The sequence below is a fragment of the Homo sapiens genome, chromosome 3 (assembly GCF_000001405.40).
Source record: "Homo sapiens chromosome 3, GRCh38.p14 Primary Assembly".
NCBI lineage: Eukaryota > Metazoa > Chordata > Mammalia > Primates > Hominidae > Homo > Homo sapiens.
In genome coordinates this window covers 187,978,072-188,001,597 of record NC_000003.12, presented here as the reverse complement: position 1 = coordinate 188,001,597, position 23,526 = coordinate 187,978,072, and the positions used below count along the sequence as shown (strand labels likewise).

General features: G+C 42.0%; 1 long non-coding RNA gene across 2 annotated transcripts in view, besides 2 other annotated features; it reads left to right on the top strand.

Moving 5' to 3' along the window:
* Positions 1-7,325, top strand: part of LOC107986166 (uncharacterized) — a 48,325-nt gene extending 41,000 nt beyond the window's left edge. For both annotated transcript variants that reach the window (XR_001741061.2, XR_001741062.2), the window contains one exon: positions 3,840-7,325. This is a non-coding gene — a long non-coding RNA (uncharacterized LOC107986166). The remainder of the gene's footprint in view (positions 1-3,839) is intronic.
* Positions 11,269-11,802: an enhancer, noted in NCBI's record as "NANOG-H3K27ac hESC enhancer chr3:187707584-187708117 (GRCh37/hg19 assembly coordinates)". NCBI's record gives its function as "activates a minimal SCP1, AML or CMV promoter by ChIP-STARR-seq in primed H9 embryonic stem cells {active_cell/tissue: H9 hESC(primed)}" and the evidence as "EXISTENCE:reporter gene assay evidence [ECO:0000049][PMID:30033119]".
* Positions 14,763-15,057: an enhancer, noted in NCBI's record as "tiled region #2895; K562 Activating non-DNase unmatched - State 6:EnhF, and HepG2 Activating DNase matched - State 7:EnhWF". NCBI's record gives its function as "activates a minimal TATA promoter and a strong SV40 promoter by Sharpr-MPRA in K562 cells, with weaker activation in HepG2 cells {active_cell/tissue: HepG2 | K562}" and the evidence as "EXISTENCE:reporter gene assay evidence [ECO:0000049][PMID:27701403]".

The following is a 23,526-nucleotide window of genomic DNA, read 5'->3' as shown; positions in this document are numbered from 1 at the left end:
AACACAGTGTCTTGTCTTTTGTCACTTGTGATGCTAGTGGTGGGAATAGAACTTTTTAAGGAGCAGAGAGGATAAACTTGTGAGATTTTCAAGCATGTGGAAGTGACTTGAATGGATTCCCTTTAGGCAATGGACACCTGGATAGAGATCCAGGAAGAGACCACCCAGACGGTGAGCTACTTGAAGAGCCAGCATGGTTTCTGGCAGACAGTGTTGGTTAATAAACAGTGAACACTGAACGTGTATGCCTGTGTCAGATTTCACACTGAGATGACATAGTAATATGGCTCTCCCCTGGTGTGTACATTCACTACTCACCAACTCAACATCTTGGCACAAGGTTGAAAGTTTGGACCAGAGCAAATTTTGGCAGAGCAAATGGTGTTGGGGTGGAAAAGTCAGCGTTTGCTCAGATTGTTCTTGCACTGTCCAAGCCAGGTGGCTTCAGGAACATTGTTCATACTTCCTAAGTCTTCTGTTAAGTGAGCAGGCTTATTCTTTCCAAAGTTCTCTCTAGATGGTTGGGAGGCTGTTAACAGCTTAGAGAAAGTCTTTGTGAGCAAAAAAAAGCAAAAAACAAAAAAACAAAACAAAACCCCACAAAACCAAAAACATTATTTGAGGTGGGGTATAAAATGTTTAATCTTGTCGGAAAAATAGGGAAGCAACATGGTGGCTAGTCTGGAATTTCTGAAAGGCTCACCATTAGGGAGATAGACAGTACGTGGGTCAAAAGGGAGAGTGAGAAAGCACTTCTGACACTTCACGCAAACCTGGCCCCATGCCTGAATGTCTATGGAAGCCACCTCCCTACTGCCTCTGCACTTTGACTCAGTACCTTCACCTGCTGCAGAGGGTGATTAGCAGCAAGGTCTACCACCACAGCTGTGGGCTTCCTGCTCCAGCCTGCCCTTGGGGCCTCCATCACCTCATTTCTTCTGGCCTCCTCCCCGTTCCCCATTTTGGAACAACTGTACATAATCCCCTCTCCCCTGCCTTCCCCCTCCCCAAACACCCCCACCTGCCCCTTCTGGCTCTGTGCCAGCAGCTGGCTGGTAAGCAGTGCCAAATCAAACAGATGTGTGTGGTATTGACCAGCACGTGTTACCAGGCTCCCTGTCCAGCCCCGTGCCTGATCAGGGCTCTCTCTCAACTGGCCGACACCAGAAACCCCCTCTCAGGGGCACTGCAGGGCCTGGAACAGAGAAATGGCGAGATGCTATTGCCTTCTGGACATCTTAGTCTCCCTTCTCCTCACCTTGCAATTCTTTTTATTTCTTTCAGTTCAGCACCTCTTCCCCTGACTTGTTTACTTGTCTTTTTTATTTACTTATTTTTAACTCTTCCTCATTAATCAAGCTCCTGAACATTTAAAGAATTACAGTTTAAAAAGGCAAAACAGGGTCTTTAAAACAAGCTTTAAAATTCAAGTTCTCTTAGATTTATAAAAGACATCACAATAGGCCAGAACCAGCCAGAAGAATAATAGCAGCTGGTCTTCTTCACCGCAGCTCGCCCAAGCCCAGGATCTTTAAGATGTCACTTCCTTCCTTCCTTTCTTAGTGGCATGCAAAATTCATGGTAATTCTCAGAAGTAGGTAGTCTTGCAAGCAAATGGCTTTGATTCTCTGTACAATTGGCTAATTCTACTCACTCCCACCTACCTGTCTGAGCGAGGATGACTTGAGAACAGCAGCAATTAACCCAAGAGAGCCCTGTGACAGATCAAAGCTCTCTGGAGCACTGAAATCTCATTGAAAATAAAATTATCGAGTCTAGCCTAATGATACAAATATTGTTCGGGTTTTAGAGTATATATATTAAACATAAGAAGTGAAACAGCTTGCATTCTTCATAGCTGCTACCTAAGAAACAATCCTCCCAACAATGAAAAGCAACAATATTTTAGTGATTCATACTAAAGATGATGATTTTTCCAAAATAATGGCCTTAAATGTTGATAATCAACAGTGCCTACCTGAATTCCACAGACATGCATGATTTTGGCATTTTTCAGTTGAATTGAAAATGCAAGATTACTGAATTTGGCCTTGTCTACGCTTCTGAATATTACTTAAGAGATCATCAACATGTAAGAAATATTAAATTATAATAATATGTTTCCTATTTTGATTTTGCCCTGATGTCCAGAATGCTCACTTGAATTTGATTCTCAATTCGATAATTACATTAGTCTTTGCCACATCTTTTTGCTTTAATCTAAATATCTAGTTCCTTTTTTTAAAAAAACCCAGGGTATAACTTCTTTTATGTTATAAATTGTCCAAAATTCTTTTTGGAAAAAGAGATGATATAATAAAAAAGAGAATTCAATAAAAATGACATCTAATAACAATGATGAGGATAATTCATGACACTTCACTTTCTACCTTTAATTAGTTATTTATGTACTTGTTGGAAGGCCCTCATTAGACTGCAAATTCCCTGAGGACAGAGCCAGGCCTGCTATGTCTCTGCATCTCCCATGGGGTGGGTGTTTAGTAAGATTCTGTTGGATAAATACAACCTTAGGATTAATTTTAGGGGAAATAAAATGAGGTTGTCCTTCTCCTTTCTTTTCCATGTGTTTCTCTTTCTTGTCTTTTTTCAGGGAAGACTATTGATATAATGTTTTACAGTCAGAGCAGAGCTGAGTTATATGGGGCTGCTTTTATATTGCTGGGTGAGATGTTACTTTCTCCTCTTTCCCCTTTGAAGCCCATTGTAAATTTTTTTCTTCCTCTACATTGTTCTCTCCCTCTTCCTGCATAATAGTCAGTAATGTTCTCCTACATAAATAATAACCACTTACATTTACATAAGCATCGGTAACACTGGCACATTCTTTCCAAAAAGGATTTGAGATGAGCGTCTTGGAGGATTTTTCCATTTTACAATGCACTCTCAGATGCTATAGCTGTTGTTGTTAACTAATAATTTATAGTGTACTTACCATGTGCCAGGCACTAGGCAAGGGCGTCTTGTACACTATCTCATTTAGTCCTCACAGTAATCCTATGGGGGAGCTACTGACATTGTCTGCATTTTCAATGCAAAGAAACGGTGAGGGCGTGGAACTTGCACATGTTCACACAGCCAGGATGGGGCAGGAATGGGATTTGAACCCTGGCCTCTGGCTACAAAACTGAGGCTCCTAACCTCTGAATCATGTTATCCCTTTGGGTCATTACTTCAACCCAGTGAAATAGGCAGAGGGGAGGAATGAGGATGAAAGTAGAGGAACAGCGTTTTCTGAGTGTCTATCAATGTCCAGGACATTATGCTTTCCTTACAATATCTCCTTTGGCCCCTCAGACATCCCACAAGGTAGACATCAATACCGTTAGCGCAAATGAAGAGACAGAAACTGTCTTAGTTAACTTGCTAGGCACTCAGATGAGAAGGCAGGGTTTTATCCCAGGTCTATTTGGTTCTAAAGTTCATATTTTTTTTTCCGTTGTACACGTGGAGAAACCGGCCCAAGTTTACACAGCAGGTTATCAAAAACAACACCAAATCTGGTCTTTTAACCGCCCTTTGAGGGTTCTGGTGTCCTACTGGGGTCAAAATGTGCAGTGCCTGGCTACTGAGTGTCCTTCCCTATGTAACCCTGTGGGGCAGAAGGAGCACTTTAGTATGAGTTGACAAAGAGAAATGCCATTGAATTTTCATCTCATTCAGAGCAGAGAGAGAGAATAGCTTTGGGAACCAGGCTAGTTTGAAACAAGGGCTCCTGAAGCTAATTAAAAGCTAGTCTGGAGCTGTGCTTTTCATTCCTTAAGAATGTTCGACCTCATTAAATAGGAAAAAGCATGTAGAATTTTCTGATTTTTTTCTAGGTTCTGCAGGGGATGGGGATGCTGAGTAAGTGAGACACGTTTCTACAGCTTCTAGCCTGCCCAGTGCCTGCAATGACATCGCTGTTGCTGATGAAGACTTACTGTTCTCAAGTGCTTATCACACTGGGAGGATGGCAACTGGGCAAAGCAGACACAGAAGGACATCATGCTGCTGACTCGTGGCTTCAGACTCTCAGTCTCCTGTATTCCTTCCTCCTGCAATTGCAGGGGGTGCACAAAACATTTGCAGGCATGAACGCAGTGAAGCAAATAGTTGTTCTTAGGAACAATTTCCCTTGGAGTCTTTCACAGACACCTGGAGCAAACTGGTGCTCAGGGGCACAAGGTTCCAGCTAAAAGAAACAGAAAAGTTCACAGGCTTTCCATATGTCCTCTGGAAAAAAACAGAAAGCCTCAAAGATTGTTCTAATGTTTGGACTTCAAGTTCACAGGAGTCAGCTGTAACTCAGAGGCCGTGTGCTCAAGCCATGAAGATGCCTGGAATTGAGAAGACAAGAGATCAGGTTGGCAGAGTCTTATACTGGATATCTTGTAGTTTTGATTTAGGAAACCATTTATGGAGCACCCACTGGGTACCAAACACTGTGCTAGCAGATTTGAGTATATCATATCTAATCCTTCCAAAGACTCCACAAAGTAAGTGTTCTTTTCAATTTACAGGTAAGGAAACAGGAACACCAGCTACAACCCTCATCTTCATGGCTTTTGGCCCTTGCTCAGTTAGTAGAGTACAGCCTGAGGAATCTTGGTTTTGCAAGGTGTTAGAACTGAAAGGGATATTAGAGCTCATGTCTACCTTTTGAGGATAATGGTGAAAAGAGATCCAAAGCCAGAAATGTAAATTAATTTGCCCAGGGACACAGAGCAGAGCTGACACATCCACTCAGGCCTCTGGTCCTGCATGTGGACCAGTCTTTTCTTCTCCATGTAACAGCAGGAGAGCAAAGAGATTAAAATGCCATCTGGGGTGGATGGAACAAATGTCAAGGCCTGCCCTGGCTCTCTCTCTAAGCAATGATTACCACAGACATGGCGGTTTTCAAAGGGCTTCTCACTTAATCTGCTCACCATTCCTTAAAAACGAGGAAAGGGGAACCTTTGAAGTTATGGAAGATAAAGTGACTTGCCAATGTACAATGATAAAAATGTGCATCTATGTCTATAAAATATGTTAAGCTCTTTAGAAGAAAGGTGAAGGAAGAGAGCAAATTGTTTTGGCATTTTCTTATTTCCATCATCTTGTGATCTAAGTTGTCTGACACTGCTAAATCATCCTTTCAAAATAGTGACACTTGTTTCTCTCCCTCTTTGATTTTTCTCCAAACTGCTTGGGGTTCCAGAGGACAGCTCTTCTAGAAATGTCCCTGTCTTATCTCACAAGGCCTGCAGGAAGTGTATAGTCTACAATCCCAGCCATGACATAAACACCAGTCTTTCTGAACCACATGCAGCATTGCCCAGCTCTGGCATATCGGAAATGAGAAATGGCTATATGTTCTGGGGTATGACTGCAGCACTGTGTGCAGGGTGCTTACCAAGCATTAGGGCCGAAAGGGGTTGAAGACTCCTTCAAACTCTTGTTTTCTGAATCAATTTTTACCTGTTTTTCTTCTGACCCGTCCTGATAAATTTTCAGATAGCAAACCTTTTGGTATAGTGACAGTCAAAGTCATTTGCAAAGCATAGAATAAGTGGTTTAGATGCTTAGGTATATTTTTCACTTTGAATGTTCATTCTGAGCCAGTTTTGTTTATGTATTAAAATAATAAAATAAAGGATTAAAGCCATGTTTCTAAGTTGAATGAAAAATAAGATCTATGCATATTTAAGGGTGTCTCCAAGCTACCCTTAGTCATGCTCCCTACACTTCAGCCACTGGATGCCTTGCTGACTCCTGAATAAAGCATGTTAATTCCCACTTAAAATACTGCTAATAACTTCTTCAGTTTGATATCAGTGCTTTACACTCTTACCATAAAGAATTCTAAGCTGGGCATTTCCTGAATTGAGTTAAACCTATCATGTTCATGATCTCACTTATCCCTCAAAGGGACTTATAAAATAGATAGGGAAGAAATGTTTACTTCCATCTTGCAGATGAAGATACTGAGGCTCAGATGAAATGGCCACCAGCTCAGGGTCACATGATATTCTAGATAGAAGAACAATGGGTCTCCTGAATTCCAGTCTAGAATTCCTTTCTCTATATTGCTGGGATTCGTGCTTAACTCTCCCAGATTTGGATTGTATGTTTGGTCACTGATACTTCCTGTCAACATAAGTGAAAGCACCTGGTTGCTTCTTGCAGGGGTAATGACCACATAACCCCTGCATCCCTGCACTTCCCCACCTTGATTCATGCTGTTCCCTCTGCTGGGAATTCTCTCTTCTCTCCTCTGAATGGTCAACTCCTCCTAATTCAATTTTAGGCCAACTGAAATCACACCTACTCTTTGATTAATTTTCTTTTGTGTGTTGCCATAGTGCTGTGCATGCTTCTGTTACAGCACATCAGTGGGCACCAAGCTGTAGCCAGGTGTCTCTCATGAAGTCACAGAAGGGAGGGAATTCAGTGACAAGCTAGAGGAAATGCTTGTTGAGATCCAGGAACAGTCTTTGTTTTTATATTTTTATCACTTACCACAGTGCCTGGAATATAGTAGATATTTTTTGACTAAAAGTTGCTCAGGGCCTGAAAATTAGGCTGCTCCTGAAAAGAAATGAGATGGCAGACAAGGAGTTATATAATAAAAATGGAAACTAGGATCTTAGGCTTCAGGTTTCAGAGTGGATGTCTTGAGGCATTGGATAACTTCCTACAGTTCTGTGAATCATGAGATGGTTATGAACTCTTTGGAGCTGAAGGGACTCTTCGATCCTTTTTGTAAGATGGGTCTACCGGCATTTCCTGTTCTGAGAGAGCATGAGGTCCCTCAACTAATGCCTTGAGAATTGAATGTTGGTTTGCCACTTACTGTTGCCTTAGCCCCGATTTTTCCTTTAACAAAGTGTCAAAAAGAACTTTAGATGGAGAAAATGAATTGAGTGAGGGAAAAAGTCCATGAGTCCCAGAACAACCTCCAGTTTGGTAATGATTTATCCTATTCTATTGTTAATTTTGCAATTAAGCAAGAGTACTTTACATGCCTGAATGACCCATGGATTGTATCTTAATCAAATTAATGTGTCTGCAACATAAGACTGATTCAGTCTTCAACTATTAGAATGACAAATGATGCAAAAACCTCAATTTTTTTTCTCTCCTTTCTCTCTCTTCTCCCCACAAAACCCTCTATCATGAAAGGTCAACTGACTGAAAGTCTGTTGCTTTGATGGCTAACATGAGATCCTATTGGTTAAAAAGTAAGAAGGCTGGCTACCGCCCCTCACTCCACTTCAAACCAACTGTATGTGTATGTGTGACTGACTATGTTTGTAAGTTTGGATTAAAAAAATTGTGGTTAATTCTTCTTGTTGTGTACTTCCTGCCACTGACATTTGTTGCTGTTGCTGTGTAGTGAGGTTGAGGCTGGGTGGGAGAATCAGATACAAATGACCTATATATTTATTCCCCAATTTTGACTACCCCTCTCAACCACTATTCTTGGAAAACCTGGAAAGTAGAAAACGATGGCCAGGAATGCCAGCTAGAAATTGCATTGCCCTGAACCAACCCCCATGACTTTGGGTCATCTTAGTTGATAAGACATTTGAAAAAATATGACTCTGCTTAATAAAATGGCATACTGTTTTTTTAGATTATAAATCACAAGTAATGATTTTTTTTAGAAACAGGCCTTTGTGGTTTGAGTTATGGTAACTGGGATTTAAACCTCCCTAGACTCTATTCAATCATCTTTTACAGTAACTTCAGTAAATAGTCTCTCACCCTTGTCCAATCCATTTCCACAATTAGTGGGATACATTTTTTAAAATGTTAATTAGATCACAACTCTTCCCTGTTTAAAACTCTTTGATGGGCCGGGCTCAGTGGCTCATGTGTATAATCCCAGCACTTTGGGAGGCCGAGGTGGGTGGATCACAAGATCAAGAGATCGAGACCATCCTGGCCAACATGGTGAAACCCCGTCTCTACTAAAAATACAAAAAAATAAAAAATAAATAAAAAATTAGCCAGGTGTGGTGGCTGGCGCCTGTAGTCCCAGCTACTTGGGAGGCTGAGGCAGAAGAATCACTTGAACCTGGGAGGCGGAGGTTGCAGTGAGCCGAGATAGCACCACTGCACTCCAGCCTGGTGACAAGAGCGAAACTCCTTCTCAAAAAAACAAAACAAACAAACAAACAAACAAAAACTCTTCCATGGCTTCTCACTGTACTTAGAATCAAGTTCAAAGTTCTTGCCATGGCTTAGAAGGTCACATAGTCTGCCCTTGCCTTTCCCCTTGACCCCCTCTTTTGTCCTTCCTCTTCTATACTGGCCACCCACTTTCCAGTCTTGGGGCCTTCAGGCTGGTCTTGATGCCTGCTTGCCTCTCGCTTTTTTTTTCTGGCTCACAGCATAAGGATCACTCCTTCAGAAAGGACGGATCGGACCCACCATGTAGGTTATGCCATCCCTTCTGTTATGTTTCTTTACACTATCGTATACTTTTTCTCTCATCACAAATCATAATTTGTGATTTTAGATATATTTCTGTGCTTATTTTTTATTTTATGACTGTTCGCTCAGTAGCCAATAAGCTTTATGCCTGCTTTGTTTGCCTTGGTATCCAGTTCTGGGTATATAGGAGGAGCTTAATGAATATTTATTGAAAGAAAGAATGGGCAACCCATTGACTTTCATAATACTTAAAATTCCTCAGCCATAATATGGAAATAGTCTTGTCATCATTATTCTACAGCTAGCTATGGAATTCATTCTGGTATTTGTTTCACACTGAACTTTGAGATGTTAGGATATCAATTGACTATGGAAGAAACATGAGACAGATAGTTTTTTGTTTTTTCTTTCTCCACTCCATTCAAAGTTCAGTAGCTCATGCAGTAGGGAGTAGAGACAACCCCTGTTCTTTAACCCATGAAGAACATGAAGGGTAACCACACCATTGTGACATCTCCCTTTCTGTAACCCTGTTAGTTACTGTCTCTGCCATTAACAAGCCAGGTAAATTATGAAGGAACACTTAACACTTTTAAGTCAACAGTTGAAGCCTTATTCCTCACCATCTACCTTTTCTTTAGAAATTTCTTATTGTCTAAATAACCTTGGAGAGATTTAAAAAGATGCTCAAAAGTTGTTAGAGAAGATACTAAGTGCGGAATTCCACTGTTCTCCCAATCCTTTATCAGAAAACTCAAGGCCCAGTCCCTCTGCTTCCTGGGTGGCCTTCTCTTTGCTTATTCCCTCCAAGCCTTGAGATATCAGAGCCCAGAATTTCTCCAGATATGTTCTCTTAGAACCCTAGCTCTGATTTCTTTCTAGCTCAAGAATTTTTTCCAGGGTGGACACAGAAACCTGCAGGGAGGTAAGAATAAAAAGAGTCAAAGGAGCAAAAGAAGCTACAAGTCTTTAGGAAGCCAGTGAGTATCTCTGAACTTTGATTTATCTGTAAAATCAAAGTTTAGTATATTGACCATATCAGGGCATTTAAAACTAAACTGAATTACAAATGTCATAGTATTTTTTACAGGGTGACACTCAATGTTCAATAAACATCAACTGGTTATTTCTATCACTTTCAATTCTTCCTGCTCTTCTTTGGCCACTCCAGAACGCATGTGATTCAGCTCAAGATGGGAGAAGAGTATCACTTATAGTTGAACCACCTGGTTGTTAAAGAAATGGATTGAGTTCAGGTCCTCAATTGGTTAGAAGCATTGATCTCACACCAGATTTTCGATCTCAGCTCTGTATGTATGCTAGATTTTAAAATTCCAGTATGTGGAGAGGTTTTAATAATAAGCAAATTCAACCTCCCCCGCTCATTCATAACTAGAAATCTAGTAGACAAAGAGTCTTTGGTTGGAACCATCCCACTGTCTTGTTTGGCATACATGTTCCATCTCTACTTCCCAAGGAAAGAAAACCCTGGAAAGAATGTGAGATTAACAGAAGAGAAACAAAGATGTCACCCAACTACTGGCAAATCCCATCATCAAAATAAAACTTTAAGCTTGCTATGTTGGGTCTAAAAAAATGGTTGGGTTCTCATTCAGGAAGTTTTTTTTTTCTTTTTTTTTCCCCCTCAAAACAGAGGGTCCCTGACCCTCAAGAAGCTAAGTGGATGAAAGATATAGAAAGATACGCATAGAAGATCAAGGATCCGCCTTGGACACTATGATGTTTGCCTGGGAAACATAGCTAGGCTGGTAACACCTTAGATACAGAGTTGGAAGAGTATTTCAGGTAGAGAAGCCAGCATGTGCAAAGGCCTCAGGTGAAAGAGCATGAAGCTGGGTAGAGGACTGAAGGAATTTAGGTTGGGATGGATTAGAGGATGGTAGACGGGGATTAGTCAGAGAGGGTGGCAGGAGCCAGCACATGAACATCTGGGAAGCTACATAAAAGGATTAGGCTCCACCTTGGAACTAAAAAGTGTTTTGATCAAGAAGCGATCACAATCAGCAATGCTGAGTGCTGGGTGTGACATGTCTAGATGAAAGAGAGGAAGGTGACCTGGACTCAGGCTGTGGCGATGGAGAAGGAGAAAGGAAAAGAGATCAGGAGAGTTTTAGATGGAACATTAATGGGACTTGGCAATGGGTTGGATAGGGCATGCTTGAGGAGGAGGAAGCTGTTGAGGATGATAACTCAAGAGTTTTGTGGGGGTACTGAGTACCATTCAGGGAGAAGGGAACACCGGGCAAGAAGCAGGTGTTGGCAGACAGGTGGTGTGTTTAGTGTGTGAGCCAGGTTGGGAGGTCTAGTTAGTAGACTAGTAGTAGTAGTAATAGTTAGTATTCTAGTAATAGTAGTAGTAGTTATAGTAGTAGTAGTAGTTAGTAGTTTAGTAGTAGAGAGATAAGGTGGAGATAAAGATTTGGGTGTTATCAGCATACAGATAATAGTTTTTCAAATTATTCTTCAGGTACAACCTATACCAGACCCACCTGCAGTACTCAATAAACATGGATATTACTTGGGGAGGATGGGATAATGGCTAAAGAGTTGTTAAAAGTTTTACCTGTGAAATGAGCATAGGAAATATAAATTTGAACATTCTCTCAAAGTAATGGCCACCTAAGTAATGGTGTCTGAATATTCCTGACGTAGAGTGATGGCAAAACACTGCTGGAGAAGTAGGAAGTTCTCCTTTTATTTCATCTTTTCTCCCCCTTTTTTTTTCTTGTTATCCATTCCACACCCTTTGCCTCCAGCATACACTAATTCTGTTTGTTTTGTTTCTTGGGAGGAATGGTAAAAATGAGGCCCAGCCCCGTTCTTTTTTCTTTCATGTTTTCTTCTTCTTTTTTTAGTCTAATTCGGGACAAAAAAAGCTTTCATCGAAAGAGCAGATGTCATATGCTTTGGTCTTTTGTGGTGGTTTTATTTTATTTTATTAAAAAAAAATCCTCCTGCAGATGAGGCTCATTTAAACATAATGAGGAGGCAACAAAGGCGTCGCACAGAGGAGCTTCAGATTCGGTTTGACTCAGGGGAGGGAGAACAAACAAGGAGATGTCCTGTCCATTTGGCTTTCCTCTATAGGGCCCAGAGCAGCTGCATTTCAGATGCAAATGGGAGATGCAGGAGGTGGGGAGGGGGAGGGTGTGGAAATGCCCAGGAAGCTGGTGTGCAGGTGTTAAGGATTCCAGGCATCGCTGCAACAACAGGCTCTGAAAACACAGAGCTCCCAGACAGAGCGGGCTTGAGAGTGCTTGCTTGGAGGGCTCAAGTGGACCCGCAGCTGCACTGGACATTCCTTTTTGTGGTCATCAATGGGCCCTGTATTGAAAATATGAAAGTGAGCAACTGGCACGTTCAGAGAAAGGAAACGCTTTGGAAATTGAGCAAACGCTAGGCTGAAGGGGCCACCCCTTGGCTGCCCTGATTACTTAAACCCACGTGCATGCATAAAACAGATACTGGATATAGGATACTGTGACTCCTGGGGCTGGAAGGAATCCATGGAATCATCAAACTCTTCTCTCCCATTCTATGGTGAGAAAACATGCTCCAAGGGGCGGAGCGATTTGTCCCAGGTCACACAGAGGGTTAGTGAGACAGAGAACACAAAATGGGCAACAGTGACACTTATTGAGCCCTCTCTGTCCTAGTGACTATTCAATATTATAATTTTTCAAAGTGATTTACCCAGCAGACTTATGAGCTAAGTTTTTTATTTCCATTTTTTAGTATGGGGAAATTGAGGCTTTAGTAAATTTAAAACTTGTTCCCTGAAATACTGTTAGATAGAAGGAATAAGTTCTAGTATTCAATAGTACAGTAGGATAATTACAGTTAGCAATATTTTTTGTATATTTCAAAATAGCTAGGAAAGAAGAGTTATAATGTTCCTAACACAAAGAAAAGATAAATGATGTCGGTGATGACTATTCCAGTTACCCTAACTTGGTCATTACACATTGTACGCATGTATCAAAATATCACAGGTATGCTCAAAATATGTACAACTATTACATATCAGTTTTTGAAACCTTATAAAAATAAAATAATAAAATAATAAAAACATAAATAAAATAAAAATAACAAAAAATAATACAATTTGTCCCAAGTCAAAAAGCTAATAAGTAATAATCAGGATGTGAATCTAGGTGTGTATGTTTTATTCCAAAATTCATGCTTTTTTTTCATTACACTTCATTCCTGACTCATAGGTAGTGTTTTCTTCTCAAACACAAACACACACACACACACACACACGAAAATATTATTGCATATATGTCCATAGTTTCATATTGTACATATGAAAATATTATTTCTCTTTCCATTTGTGTAAAATGTACTAAAATGTATATATATTAAAACCATGAAATATGAAACATTTTCCTTCAGACACAAACATACTACAGCACTGTCTAATACAGCTTTGAAATAGTTACTTATGGTTGGTGATAATCCCTTTCATGTAATATGTATTCAATAACTATTCGATTTTGAATTGTTCCTTTTTATTGGAAAAGGAGCATTTCATTAGAGCCAGAAACTACTGTCCACCAACATTATTATTTCTGTGACTTCCACACATTTGCATTGTGCCTGTGTTTATGAGGTGCATTTGCATGCATTAATTCAATACTTATTGAATTAATTAAGTAATTAGTTGGCAGTACCTATGTAAGAAAAGAGTAAGCAGGGCCACTAGTCCCATCTTATAGATGAGAAAACTGAGGCTCATGGAAACTAATCAATTTTCCCACACAAGGCTGATGGTGAACTCAGGTTGTCTCATGCCAGCATATTGGCAGAAGCTGTTCAGTGAGGACCATGCTGACGATAGAGATCAGAGGGAGAGAGCCATGAGAACACAAGTGCACTTATTTCCCTGCTGAAGGATGCTGTGGTCCAATGTGTAGAACTCCAGATTTGCAGACAGACAACCTGACACCCTGTGGGTGTGTGAGTGTGTGGGTGATGCTGGGAGGTGCGGGGATCACGGAGATTGTGATCTTGGTGAGGTGAGGCTCTGTGGGTGGCTTTCTTTGCACAAATGTGTCACCCTGTGTGCCTGCCTGAGGACTATGACAATGCTCATACGAATGCCTGCAAATGATCACCCATATGGGTGAATGATACCCATGACTGTGCTGGTGATATGGCCAGAGTCCTGGGTTTTTTTGGGTCCTTATGTAGTGCACTGGCTTTCAGTAGTTTTGTGATGTCAACCTGAGCTTCTGAGATCAGCCTTTCTGCAGTGTCAGTGGATCCAGAGTTCCACTCTCTCCTTGGGAAAAAATAACCCAGCAATATCTCCTACTACTTAGAGGGCCAGGAGTGTGACATGTGTATTTGAAGAATGATACAGTATAAAATCTGAGGCTGCTAGGTTTTAAGGCACCTAGATCAGATACATATTTTATAGATGAAAACACTGGAGACCAGAGAAAAAATTGCTTGATTTATTACTTTGTGCCTGTTTTTGATATTTCATGTATTCCACAAACATTTGTTGAGTAGGTATTCTGTGGAAGGACCTGCCTTCAAGGATCTGTCAGTCTAGTGGAGAGAAGCATGCATAAACAAGTCACAATGCCAATCGGTGAGCCAAGTGGACATCTGAGAGGCCCACACAGCAGAGACAGCATTTGAACCCAATCTGGAAAGATATGCAGTCTTGCCCAAGGTGGAGAAGTGTGTCGCTGTGAGAAGGAGTGGCATGTTCAGAGACCCAGGGGTGGGAAGTGTGAGATCTGATAAAAGGACTCTTGAAAGCTGGCTGAAATGTAGGGTGTGTCTCTGTATGTATGAGTTTATGGGGTGGGGTCAGCAAGCAAAGCCAGAAGATGAGGAGGTGCTGGATCATGAAAGGCTTTATACACCAGATGAAGGAGTCTAGACTGTTCCGTAGAAACTGGGAAAACCTTGAAGGATGTTAAGCAGAGGGATAGCAGAATTATAAATTAGTTTTGAACATATCATTCTGTGCACAGTCTAGAAAATGGACTGGGGTGACCCTGCAGGCAGGAAGACTGGTCTAACCTTGCTGCATGTGCAATATTTGGGGATTTCAAAGTGGTGGTGTGGGTGGAAAAGATTGTCTGGAGTCGAGGAGAGAGGCCCAGGTGGCTGTCAGGATTAGAATCCATGCACGCTGATCTCAGTCATACGGGATACTTCTTAAAAAAACACTCCATCAAAAGTGGCATTCAAGTGTGCTCTAGTGCCTGGTCTGAAAGCCTCCAGAGGAGAGAGAATGCTCAGCATTTGTTCTGGAAGACATCCCTGGGTAGGCAGGGAGTTCCCCACGAGATGAGGTGGAGGGAGTCATGGAGAAGCACTCAGGCCCCTGTTCACTTGCACCGTTTCAGAGCCAGGAACCAGCTAGGGCCAACCCCTTTTTATTTTGGAGTCATCCTTCATCAGATATAGTGTTAACTCACTTCCTTTTTAGCCCCTACCCCGTTCCTACCACCACCACCTCCTTGCTTTAGTCACTGGAGCTGAGTCATCCTTCGAGCCTATTCCTGTCTCCCCGCACTGTGTCAGGGTGAAAGGGTTTGAGCATGAGCCACTGGGCATGGACATTCCCATCTGCTGGACAATCTCTGTGACTTCAGGAAAGAAGAGAGAAAAGGAGCTGATGTAGCCTGGGTACCTCCTGTGTGCCACGCCAATGCCAGACTCATCAACATTTATGTCTTGTCACAATTGTCTTAGGCAGTGGTGTTATCCTCAGATGGGGAACATGAGGCTCAGTGAGGTTCAGTCATTTTCCCAAGGCCACACAGACCTGAAGGATTTCAAAGTTTACACTATTTCCAATATATTACTTTGCCTCTTTACATCATCTCTGGGAAAGGATGGCATTTGATTCAACTCACAGTTTAGTACCTACTATGTGCAACACACTGTGCCAGAGGGGTTAATAGAGGGTTCCTGCTGTCAAGGAGCTCAGCATCTCATGATGGAAACCTTTGATCCTTAGATTTATTCACTCAATATTATTTGAGTACTACCTACAGGCAGAGCCCTCTTGGGGGATATGGAGATAAATAACCCAGGATCTCAGCCCTGGCACACAATAGCACTGAGCACAGGATGCTGTGGGAAAACAGAGGAAAGGATATTTAATAGTCTATGAAGAATTCAAGGAAGACATTGCAGAGCTACTTTTAGACTGACATTGAAGAGTGAGTGTTTTGATAGACAAAGAATCTGGGACAGGAAAACCAGCGCTGTAGAAACTACAAGCACACTGAAGGGAAGTACAAGAAACATCAGGTATAAATAGAGAGTGGGAGTGGCTGGCAGATGATGGGTAGTTGTTGAGCAGTTGAAAGAAGCTTTGAAAGCCCCACTCACAAGAGAGGAATTCCTGAAGTCTTGAATAGTTGCTCATTCTTCTGTTGACCCATCAGCTCTTCATTGCATGTTTCCTCTACACTAGGTGCTGGGCAAAGTGTTGAGGTACAGTGGAGGCTAAAAAGTACGAATAGGGCCAGGTGCAATGGCTCACACCTGTAATTTCAGCACTTTGGCAGGCCGAGGCAGGTGGATCACCTGAGGTTGGGAGTTTGAGACCAGCCTGACCAACATGAAGAAATCCTGCCTCTACTAAAAATACAAAAAAAAAAAATTAGCCAGGTGTGGTGGTGCATGCCTGTAATCCCAGCAACTCAGGAGGCTGAGGCAGGAGAATCGCTTGAACCCGGGAGGCGGAGGTTATGGTGAGCCAAGATCACACCATTGTACTCTGGCCTGAACAACAAAAGTAAAACTGTCTCAAAAAAAAAAAAAAAAAAAAATATATATATATATATATATATATGGATAGTCCCCAACATCAAGGTGGTCAAAGACTCATCAGACGGCCACAGTTCAATGGATGCTTGCAAACTGGGATAGTGTTGAGAAGGAAAGACAGATGGTGTGAGAGACCACAGAACAGGAGGAATTGTTTTAGGGGAGTGTTGATGATAAGAAAGGGGTTATTTGAAGAAACTGGGTTTAAGCTGAATCTGAACACTGAATAGGAGTAATTACATCAAGTGTGAGTGTGAGTGTGTGTGTGTGTGAGTGTGTGTGTGTACGCGTTTGTGTGTTGAGAGAGTGGCTGGGGTAGGGGATAGGGACAGGGAATAATACTGCTTCAGAAGGATGCTATTAACAAAGAGAAGACAATTGATATAACAAACATTCTAGTAAAATAACAGCATAGGGTGGCCGGGAAACTGGTGGCACCTTGCCGGGGTCCCTGAATTCAATTATCCAGGCCATGCCTTTGTGTTCATCCTGGGAAACAGCTGCTAAGCCCTGGTCTCAGAGCTTTCACTGACTTCCACTCCTGGATTTTGCTGTGTGACTAGGATGTTTGTTCCTCAGAGTCTTCATCTGTAGAGTGGAATAGAACACACTTACGTGACTTTCAGAATACAGAATCTAATAAAAAGTGACAAGATACAAGTTGTCTATAGACATTCATTCAACAAGTTGGAGTTGATGTTTAGAGTGAGAGAGGAGCTTTGGAGCTTTAATTACACACACACACAAACACACACACACACACACACACACACAAACACACACACACACACACACACACAGAGGCCAGGACTTAATATTGTCAGCCTCTAGTAGACAGATGTGGGTATTCATTTCCATACTCACATATCTCTAAATAAAGAGGTGGGCTCTGAAGAGCTGCAGGGCACTGACACCATCACTGTGCTCCTCGGCATGCTCCTGAAAAGAGAAAACTGTCTTCATTTTCTCTCTCTCTCTCTGTTTTTTTTTTTTTTTTTTTTTTTTTTTTTTTGAGACGGAGTCTTGCTCTGTAACTCCCGGGCTAGAGTGCAGTAGCACGATCTTGGCTCACCACAACCTCTGCCTCCCCGGTACCAGCGATTCTCCTGCCTCAGCCTCCTGAATAGCTGGGATTACAGGCACCTGCCACCATGCCTGGCTAATTTTTGTATTTTTAGTAGAGACAGGGTTTCACCATCTTGACCAGGCTGGTCTCGAACTCCTGACCTCGTGATCCATCAGCCTCAGCCTCCCTAATTGCTGGGATTACAGGCGTGAGCCACCATGCCCGGCCCATTTTTTCTTGATTTGTAGCACCCTTTTTCTTCCTGGGGCTACAAAGGGGTTTCAGTTTGGAGCCAAAGTGCATCAGACACAAGCATTAGTGTGTGAACTGAGACTAGAGTCCAGATTTCCACAGCACTGGACTGCCACTTTCTGGGAGCCAAAGCCCTGGCAGTCTTCCTGTTTGTTGTACAAGAGCCTAAGAATGCTCAGACTCTGTAACCTTCAGAGACAAATGAGAAAACATTTCCATGTTATTTGATAAGTTCCCATCCCTGAGAGCTTGACAGCCTGACAGAATGTCACTGTGCTGTAGGAACAAGTGTCCTGAAGTTGGAGCATAGCATTTTGATTTCTAGCTTTGGTTCTGCCATAGGCTGTGTGACCTTGGACGTGGTCATGTCCACAATCTGAGGCCCTGTTTCCCCATATCTAAAGCAAGGTGGGTGGTACGTGATTTTTGAGTCTTGGTAGCCTTGACATGCTATGCTCCTAGGACATGAAGCTCTCCCAGAAGGACACTGGGTGGCATTTAACCTGGCCTTGACCTACCAGTCGCCTATGTTTATTGTCTGGAAGAGCCTTCTCTCTTTCTTGCTGGTGTTCTGTCACCTAAAACCAAACTACAAACAAGTTTTCTCCACAACACTTTCAGTACCAGCATTTCATAGATAATTTCTAGATAGTTTCAAGATTTTCTGTTGAGAAAGGCCCAGTGGCTCTAAACTGATGTCAAATTATATTTGATGCATAATACAGGCAGTGTAGTGTTCAATCAGTACAGGCTAAGGGAAAGGTGATGAACAGCATGATCAAGAGTAGCTGGGGTGGAGATGGGCAGATGGATTGATTTGGTCCAAACAGCCAATCATTAGAGCTTTCTCTTTTATCTCTACTATCCAATACTCTCCTTCCAAGTTTCTAGCTAAGAACAAACTTGCCTGACAGATAAGTTTGCTTGTGAAGATTAATGTTTTTCTTTTCAAGATATTCACAATGATGTGTGCAAATGTATGTGTGCATATAGCTTATATTCAATACTTTTTTTTTTTTTTAGATGGAGTCTCACTCTGTTGCCCAGGCTGCAGTGCAGTAGCATGATCTCAGCTTACTGCAACCTCCATCCCCTGGGTTCAAGCAATTCTCCTGCCACAGCCTCCTGAGTAGCTGGGATTACAGGTGTGTGCCATCACACCTGGCTAATTATTTGATTTTTTTTAACATCACCTGATTTTGATTACATCTATGATTCCTGCAATTGGTCCAGAGCAGGGAAGGAAAGTGACAAAAACCTTAATACTTAAGAAAGCCTTTTATAGAGGGCTTTTCTGATCTCTCCTCTACTGAAGACTTTTAGAAAATAAGAAAGTAGACATCATCCTCCCAACTTAAATCAAGGCAACCCCAATTCATGTCACTTCCTTGGATGCTCATGATAACTCTGTGAGGTCGGTAGGCCTGGATGAGGAAACAGAGACTCTGAAAGTCACCCAGCTAGCAGGTTGCAGCAGTAGACTCCAACTGCTACCTTAAAAAAAAATATGTAGTTGTGTAAGTCTCAGGAGAGCATGCGCAGTATTAATAGAATTTTGTAGATGAGGAAACAAATCTCCAAAGTGTTCCCTGGTTTGTGCTTTGGCCTGGCTGTGCTGTTGATTGGACAGATTCCCATCACACTGTGGTGCTTCTTTCTGTTCCATTATGAACGTTACCACTCTGGTGAGACAGTTTTACTCACGGCTCACACATCTGTCATTCTCTGTCCCTTTGAAAACCCATTTCATGGTCCAGTAGAGCAGAGTTTCATCCAATAGCACTATTGACTTGGTGGCTTCAAAGTGCAGTGCCCACCCCTGGCTGAGCTTGGGGCAGTAATGTTTAACAGTCTGGTAGTTAAATTAGAAGCAATAATAACACAATAGTCAGGTTTGGTTCTAACACACGAATGAGTCCCAACCCTCTAGCTGTAACTGAAATAAGTAGAAGGGGAGGAATGGATTTGGGATTCTTCTGTAGGATTCCTGATCTGTTCTTCTATGGCCAGACAGAGCAAGAAAACCCATGGGACCACAACACAACCCCATGATTGGAAAAACTTGTGTTTTACAGACCACCTCTCAAGACTCAATGCTGACAGGCTGGAAATAAACTAGAATAATTAATTCTAAAATAGTCACGAAGACAAATCTTCCCTCCAATTCAGTCCAAAGGTCTGGATTGGCTTAATGTCTAGAGTGTGTGCTATTTGACTATTTCTACTAAACATTAATTAAATAATCCATCTAGCTCTGGCCCCCAGAGCTCCAGGGTCCCCAGAAGTGGAATATCCTAACTGGTATCTGTCCCTTTCCAAGTTAGCCCTTGTATGAGTGCCCCGCTGAGATGAGGTAGTGGGCTTTCAGCATTCAGTACCCTCCGATGCTCCAACCAGAGCAGCTTGGTTTGCGGTTCACCTCAGGACAATGCAAACTGAGCTATGCATTTACTGTAATTCTAATCAGATGATTCTATAATTGGAAGAACACCAGTGGCATTCTGTCTTTGGAGTCTTTTCCATTAAGCAATTGAACAAGGGCCAGGGGACCTTTACTTGTCCCAAACGCAGATCGTGATAGAGACTCTGAGATCTGGATACTATGTTCCATTCTATAACAGGATCAAGTTCTTAATTTTTTCTTGGTAAGATCATAAAATGTGTGTAGCAGTCATTTCACCCGTACTTTCAATAAATTCTGACCAACTGCTCTCCTAACAATGAAAAACAAATGAAATGAGCAAAGTGTTTGTGTGTATTTGTGGTGGGGAGTGTGTGTATGTATGCTTGAATATAGTGACTGAATATTTTAGGTAAATATTTCCAAGTCTAGATTATAATCATATATGATAATTGTTGACTAAAGTAATAAGAAAAATAACCTGAATTTCTTAATCTCTCTAGATACCTCAATTAGAAACAGAAAGAAATATTATGGACAAATGCATTGGGGAACTAATTTGCAGTAGGAACTGTGCAAAGTATTGCGTTGCTTTCGGAAATATAGGAATGAATCAGACCTCGATCTTGACTTTGAAGAGCTCATAATTTAAAGAGGGAGATAAATCATGATCATAAAAATCATAATCTAAGATAGAAAGTGCAGGGCCTGTGGCACTGGGATTTAGAGGAAGGAAAGTTTACTCCCTCCTGGGAAGCTCTGGCTTGGCTTTTTGGAGGATACAGACTTTAAAGCATGGGAAGGATTTGGTCCAAGGACAAACAAGGGGAAGGAATAATTGCAGGAGCAAAGGCGAGATGTGAAGTGAGAATGTATAACTGGACAGTGTTGCCTTCACAGGCAGTTGGGGTAAATAAAGGACTCTACCAGTGACCTGAGGGATCTTGTTAAAATATAGATTCTGATGCAGTTGGTCTGGAGTGGAACCTGAAAATTTGCATTTCTAATAAACTCTCAGATGATGCTGATGCTGCTGGTTCTCAGCCCCCTCTAAGCAATAGGGAATCATTACAGGTCTTAGACAGTACAGAGTTCCTGTTATGACCTTCAACCTTGGAAATCCCTTTAAGGAGACATTTTGAGGTTGCGGACACCCACATGATGACGAGTACAACAGCATTTGCTTTTCCTTCTCCAGTTGTACTGATCAAAATAAAAACCCAGTTAGGGGTGAAAATGGACAAGGGGTGAAAAGGTTAACTAAAGACCTGGATTCTAGACACCAGATAATACACAAACCACAATGTAAATGCTGTTTTGGTTTCAGAAATGGTTTCTCCTCCTAAATTGTTAATTGAAGGGCAAAAGAGAGCTGATGAGTATCTATATATTTGAGAGTGATTTAGACCCTCTAGCTTGATTGTTAATATAATTTTATAATAAGATGATAATACTTCAGTAGTACCATGGGGAAAGAACAGGAATTAGAATCAAAAGATCTGACCTTACATTCTTTAACCTCTCTGGGCCTCAGATAAACTTTCTCATCTATAACACAGGAGAAAAATCCCTTCCCCAGCTACCTCTCAGTTCTTCATAAAAATCAAATAAGCTAATGGGTATGAAAGTGCTTTGCAGACTAAGAAGTGCCTTGCAGGTGTGATGGCTACCTTTTGTTATTATGGATGGAGGCATTAGTCTTTTCTCTGTTCCTGGGACTTGCTGGCAGAATGAGTTAGTGCAAACTCTGAGGAGAAACTGTGTCAGCCTCAGGGGCAAGGCCCCAGGTAATATGGCATGAGAGATCCTCCTGTAGAGTTTGCGTCTCCTGTCAAAGCAGGATGCACCTGCTGCCTGTAGATCAGACATACACTTGCATCTGGTTGCGCAGCTTCCTGTGATCTCTGGGGAAATGTTATCAGCAGCAATATTGCCATACAGGGCATCCCCTGGGAGTGACTTTGGGGGCAAGACTTATGTCTCATGTTCTCTGCTACCCACTGAAGGCTATTCTGGCCAAGCCCCCAGAGCAGGTAACAGTGGCAGGTAAGAATATTTGTTAGGTAAGAGGAAAGTCCAGAGCATGAAGGCTCCAAGGTCTAAGAAAAAAATTAGCAAGACACCAAGAAGCATTTTTTTAGCAGGAAAATAGGTGGCATTCAGAGAGTGAATAGGGGGACAAGAAGATAACTCCTGAGAGCCAAACCTACAAAGTCAATACCTGGACCAGAAAGCTCACTTTTCAGGAGAACTCTACTGCATTTTACATGTAATAGAACTGAGTGTCACTTAAGGTAACAGGCATTAGAAATCACCATGGAGGTCAGGTTCAATCCCTGAATTGCCTGTGAGGAAACAGGCATTTGGTAAAAAGGGGCTTGCCCTGAGTTAATAGAAGATCCCGGGATAAATCTCAGATCTCTTGATTATCTTTCTCTTGCTGTTTGAGAAGGGCCATCCTTTTTGGCCCTCCTGGCCTAAGTTTCTTCATTTCAAAAATGATGGGAAAGATCACTGTTTCCCTTGTGTGCTCTTCCAGCTCCAATATTCCATGGGTCCCAGAGACCCAGGCTTCAGTCCAGGCCTAGAGCATCTCCCCATTCAGGCCGTGTTCACAGGAATCATAGCCTCTCCCTTTATTCTCCCCTGGGGAATCTGCAGTAATGCTTAATCCCCGCTCCCAGACTCACTTTCGCAAGGGGAAATCAATAGATTCTTCAAGTAGTTGGACCACAGAATGATGCCTGGGTCTATTTTGTCAACCAGGTGGCTCTGGTGAAGGAAGTTGTGTGAGTCATTGTCGGCCAGAAATGTAAATCTGGACTGAGGCTTCCCTTGCAGTGAAATTTGGGTCTTTAGTAACAGTGACCTTCTGTACAGCACGTTACAGTTACAAAACACTTTACATACTTCATTTGTTTATCACAACTATTCAGAGACTTAGTGTTATTGTTATGCCCATTTTACAGAGGAGGAAAATAGACATGGGCACTATGGCAATTTGCCCAAGGTGACAGGAAGTGTGAGTGGCAGAGCTGGGACTGACTTAGTGAAGTCTTTGGACCTTATAATCCGTGACCTGCATACCACATCTCTTTGTATCAGGGTTCCTATTGCCTACTCAGCCTCAGTGGATAGAAACAAAAGCAAAGAAGGTCAACCTGCTTGGGGTCATTTACATGGACATGCATTTCTGGAGAAGGGATAATTGCAGCATCATTGTGGATATTACAGTCATGGAGACAGGCCTGGGAATAGGCAGATATATGGGACTGACAGCCTCTGTCCACTGCTGTCCACCACCCACTGACTCTTTCACCTTCTGTTTCTCAGACTAAAACTCACCCTTCCTGATTTAAAAACCAGGGCTTTTCTTCCCATTGTGTAAAATATGAAGCATAATCCAAACATGTAAAAAAGGATGACAAGTACTGTAACAAACATCCATCGTAGTGAAGTTTCACGCTGTTAGCTAAATATTTCCAGTTCTTTCCATTTCTGGGAACATGGTAGAATTGCACTCCTGGCCCTTGAGCAAGGTAAATCCAGGTGCTAGTCTGGG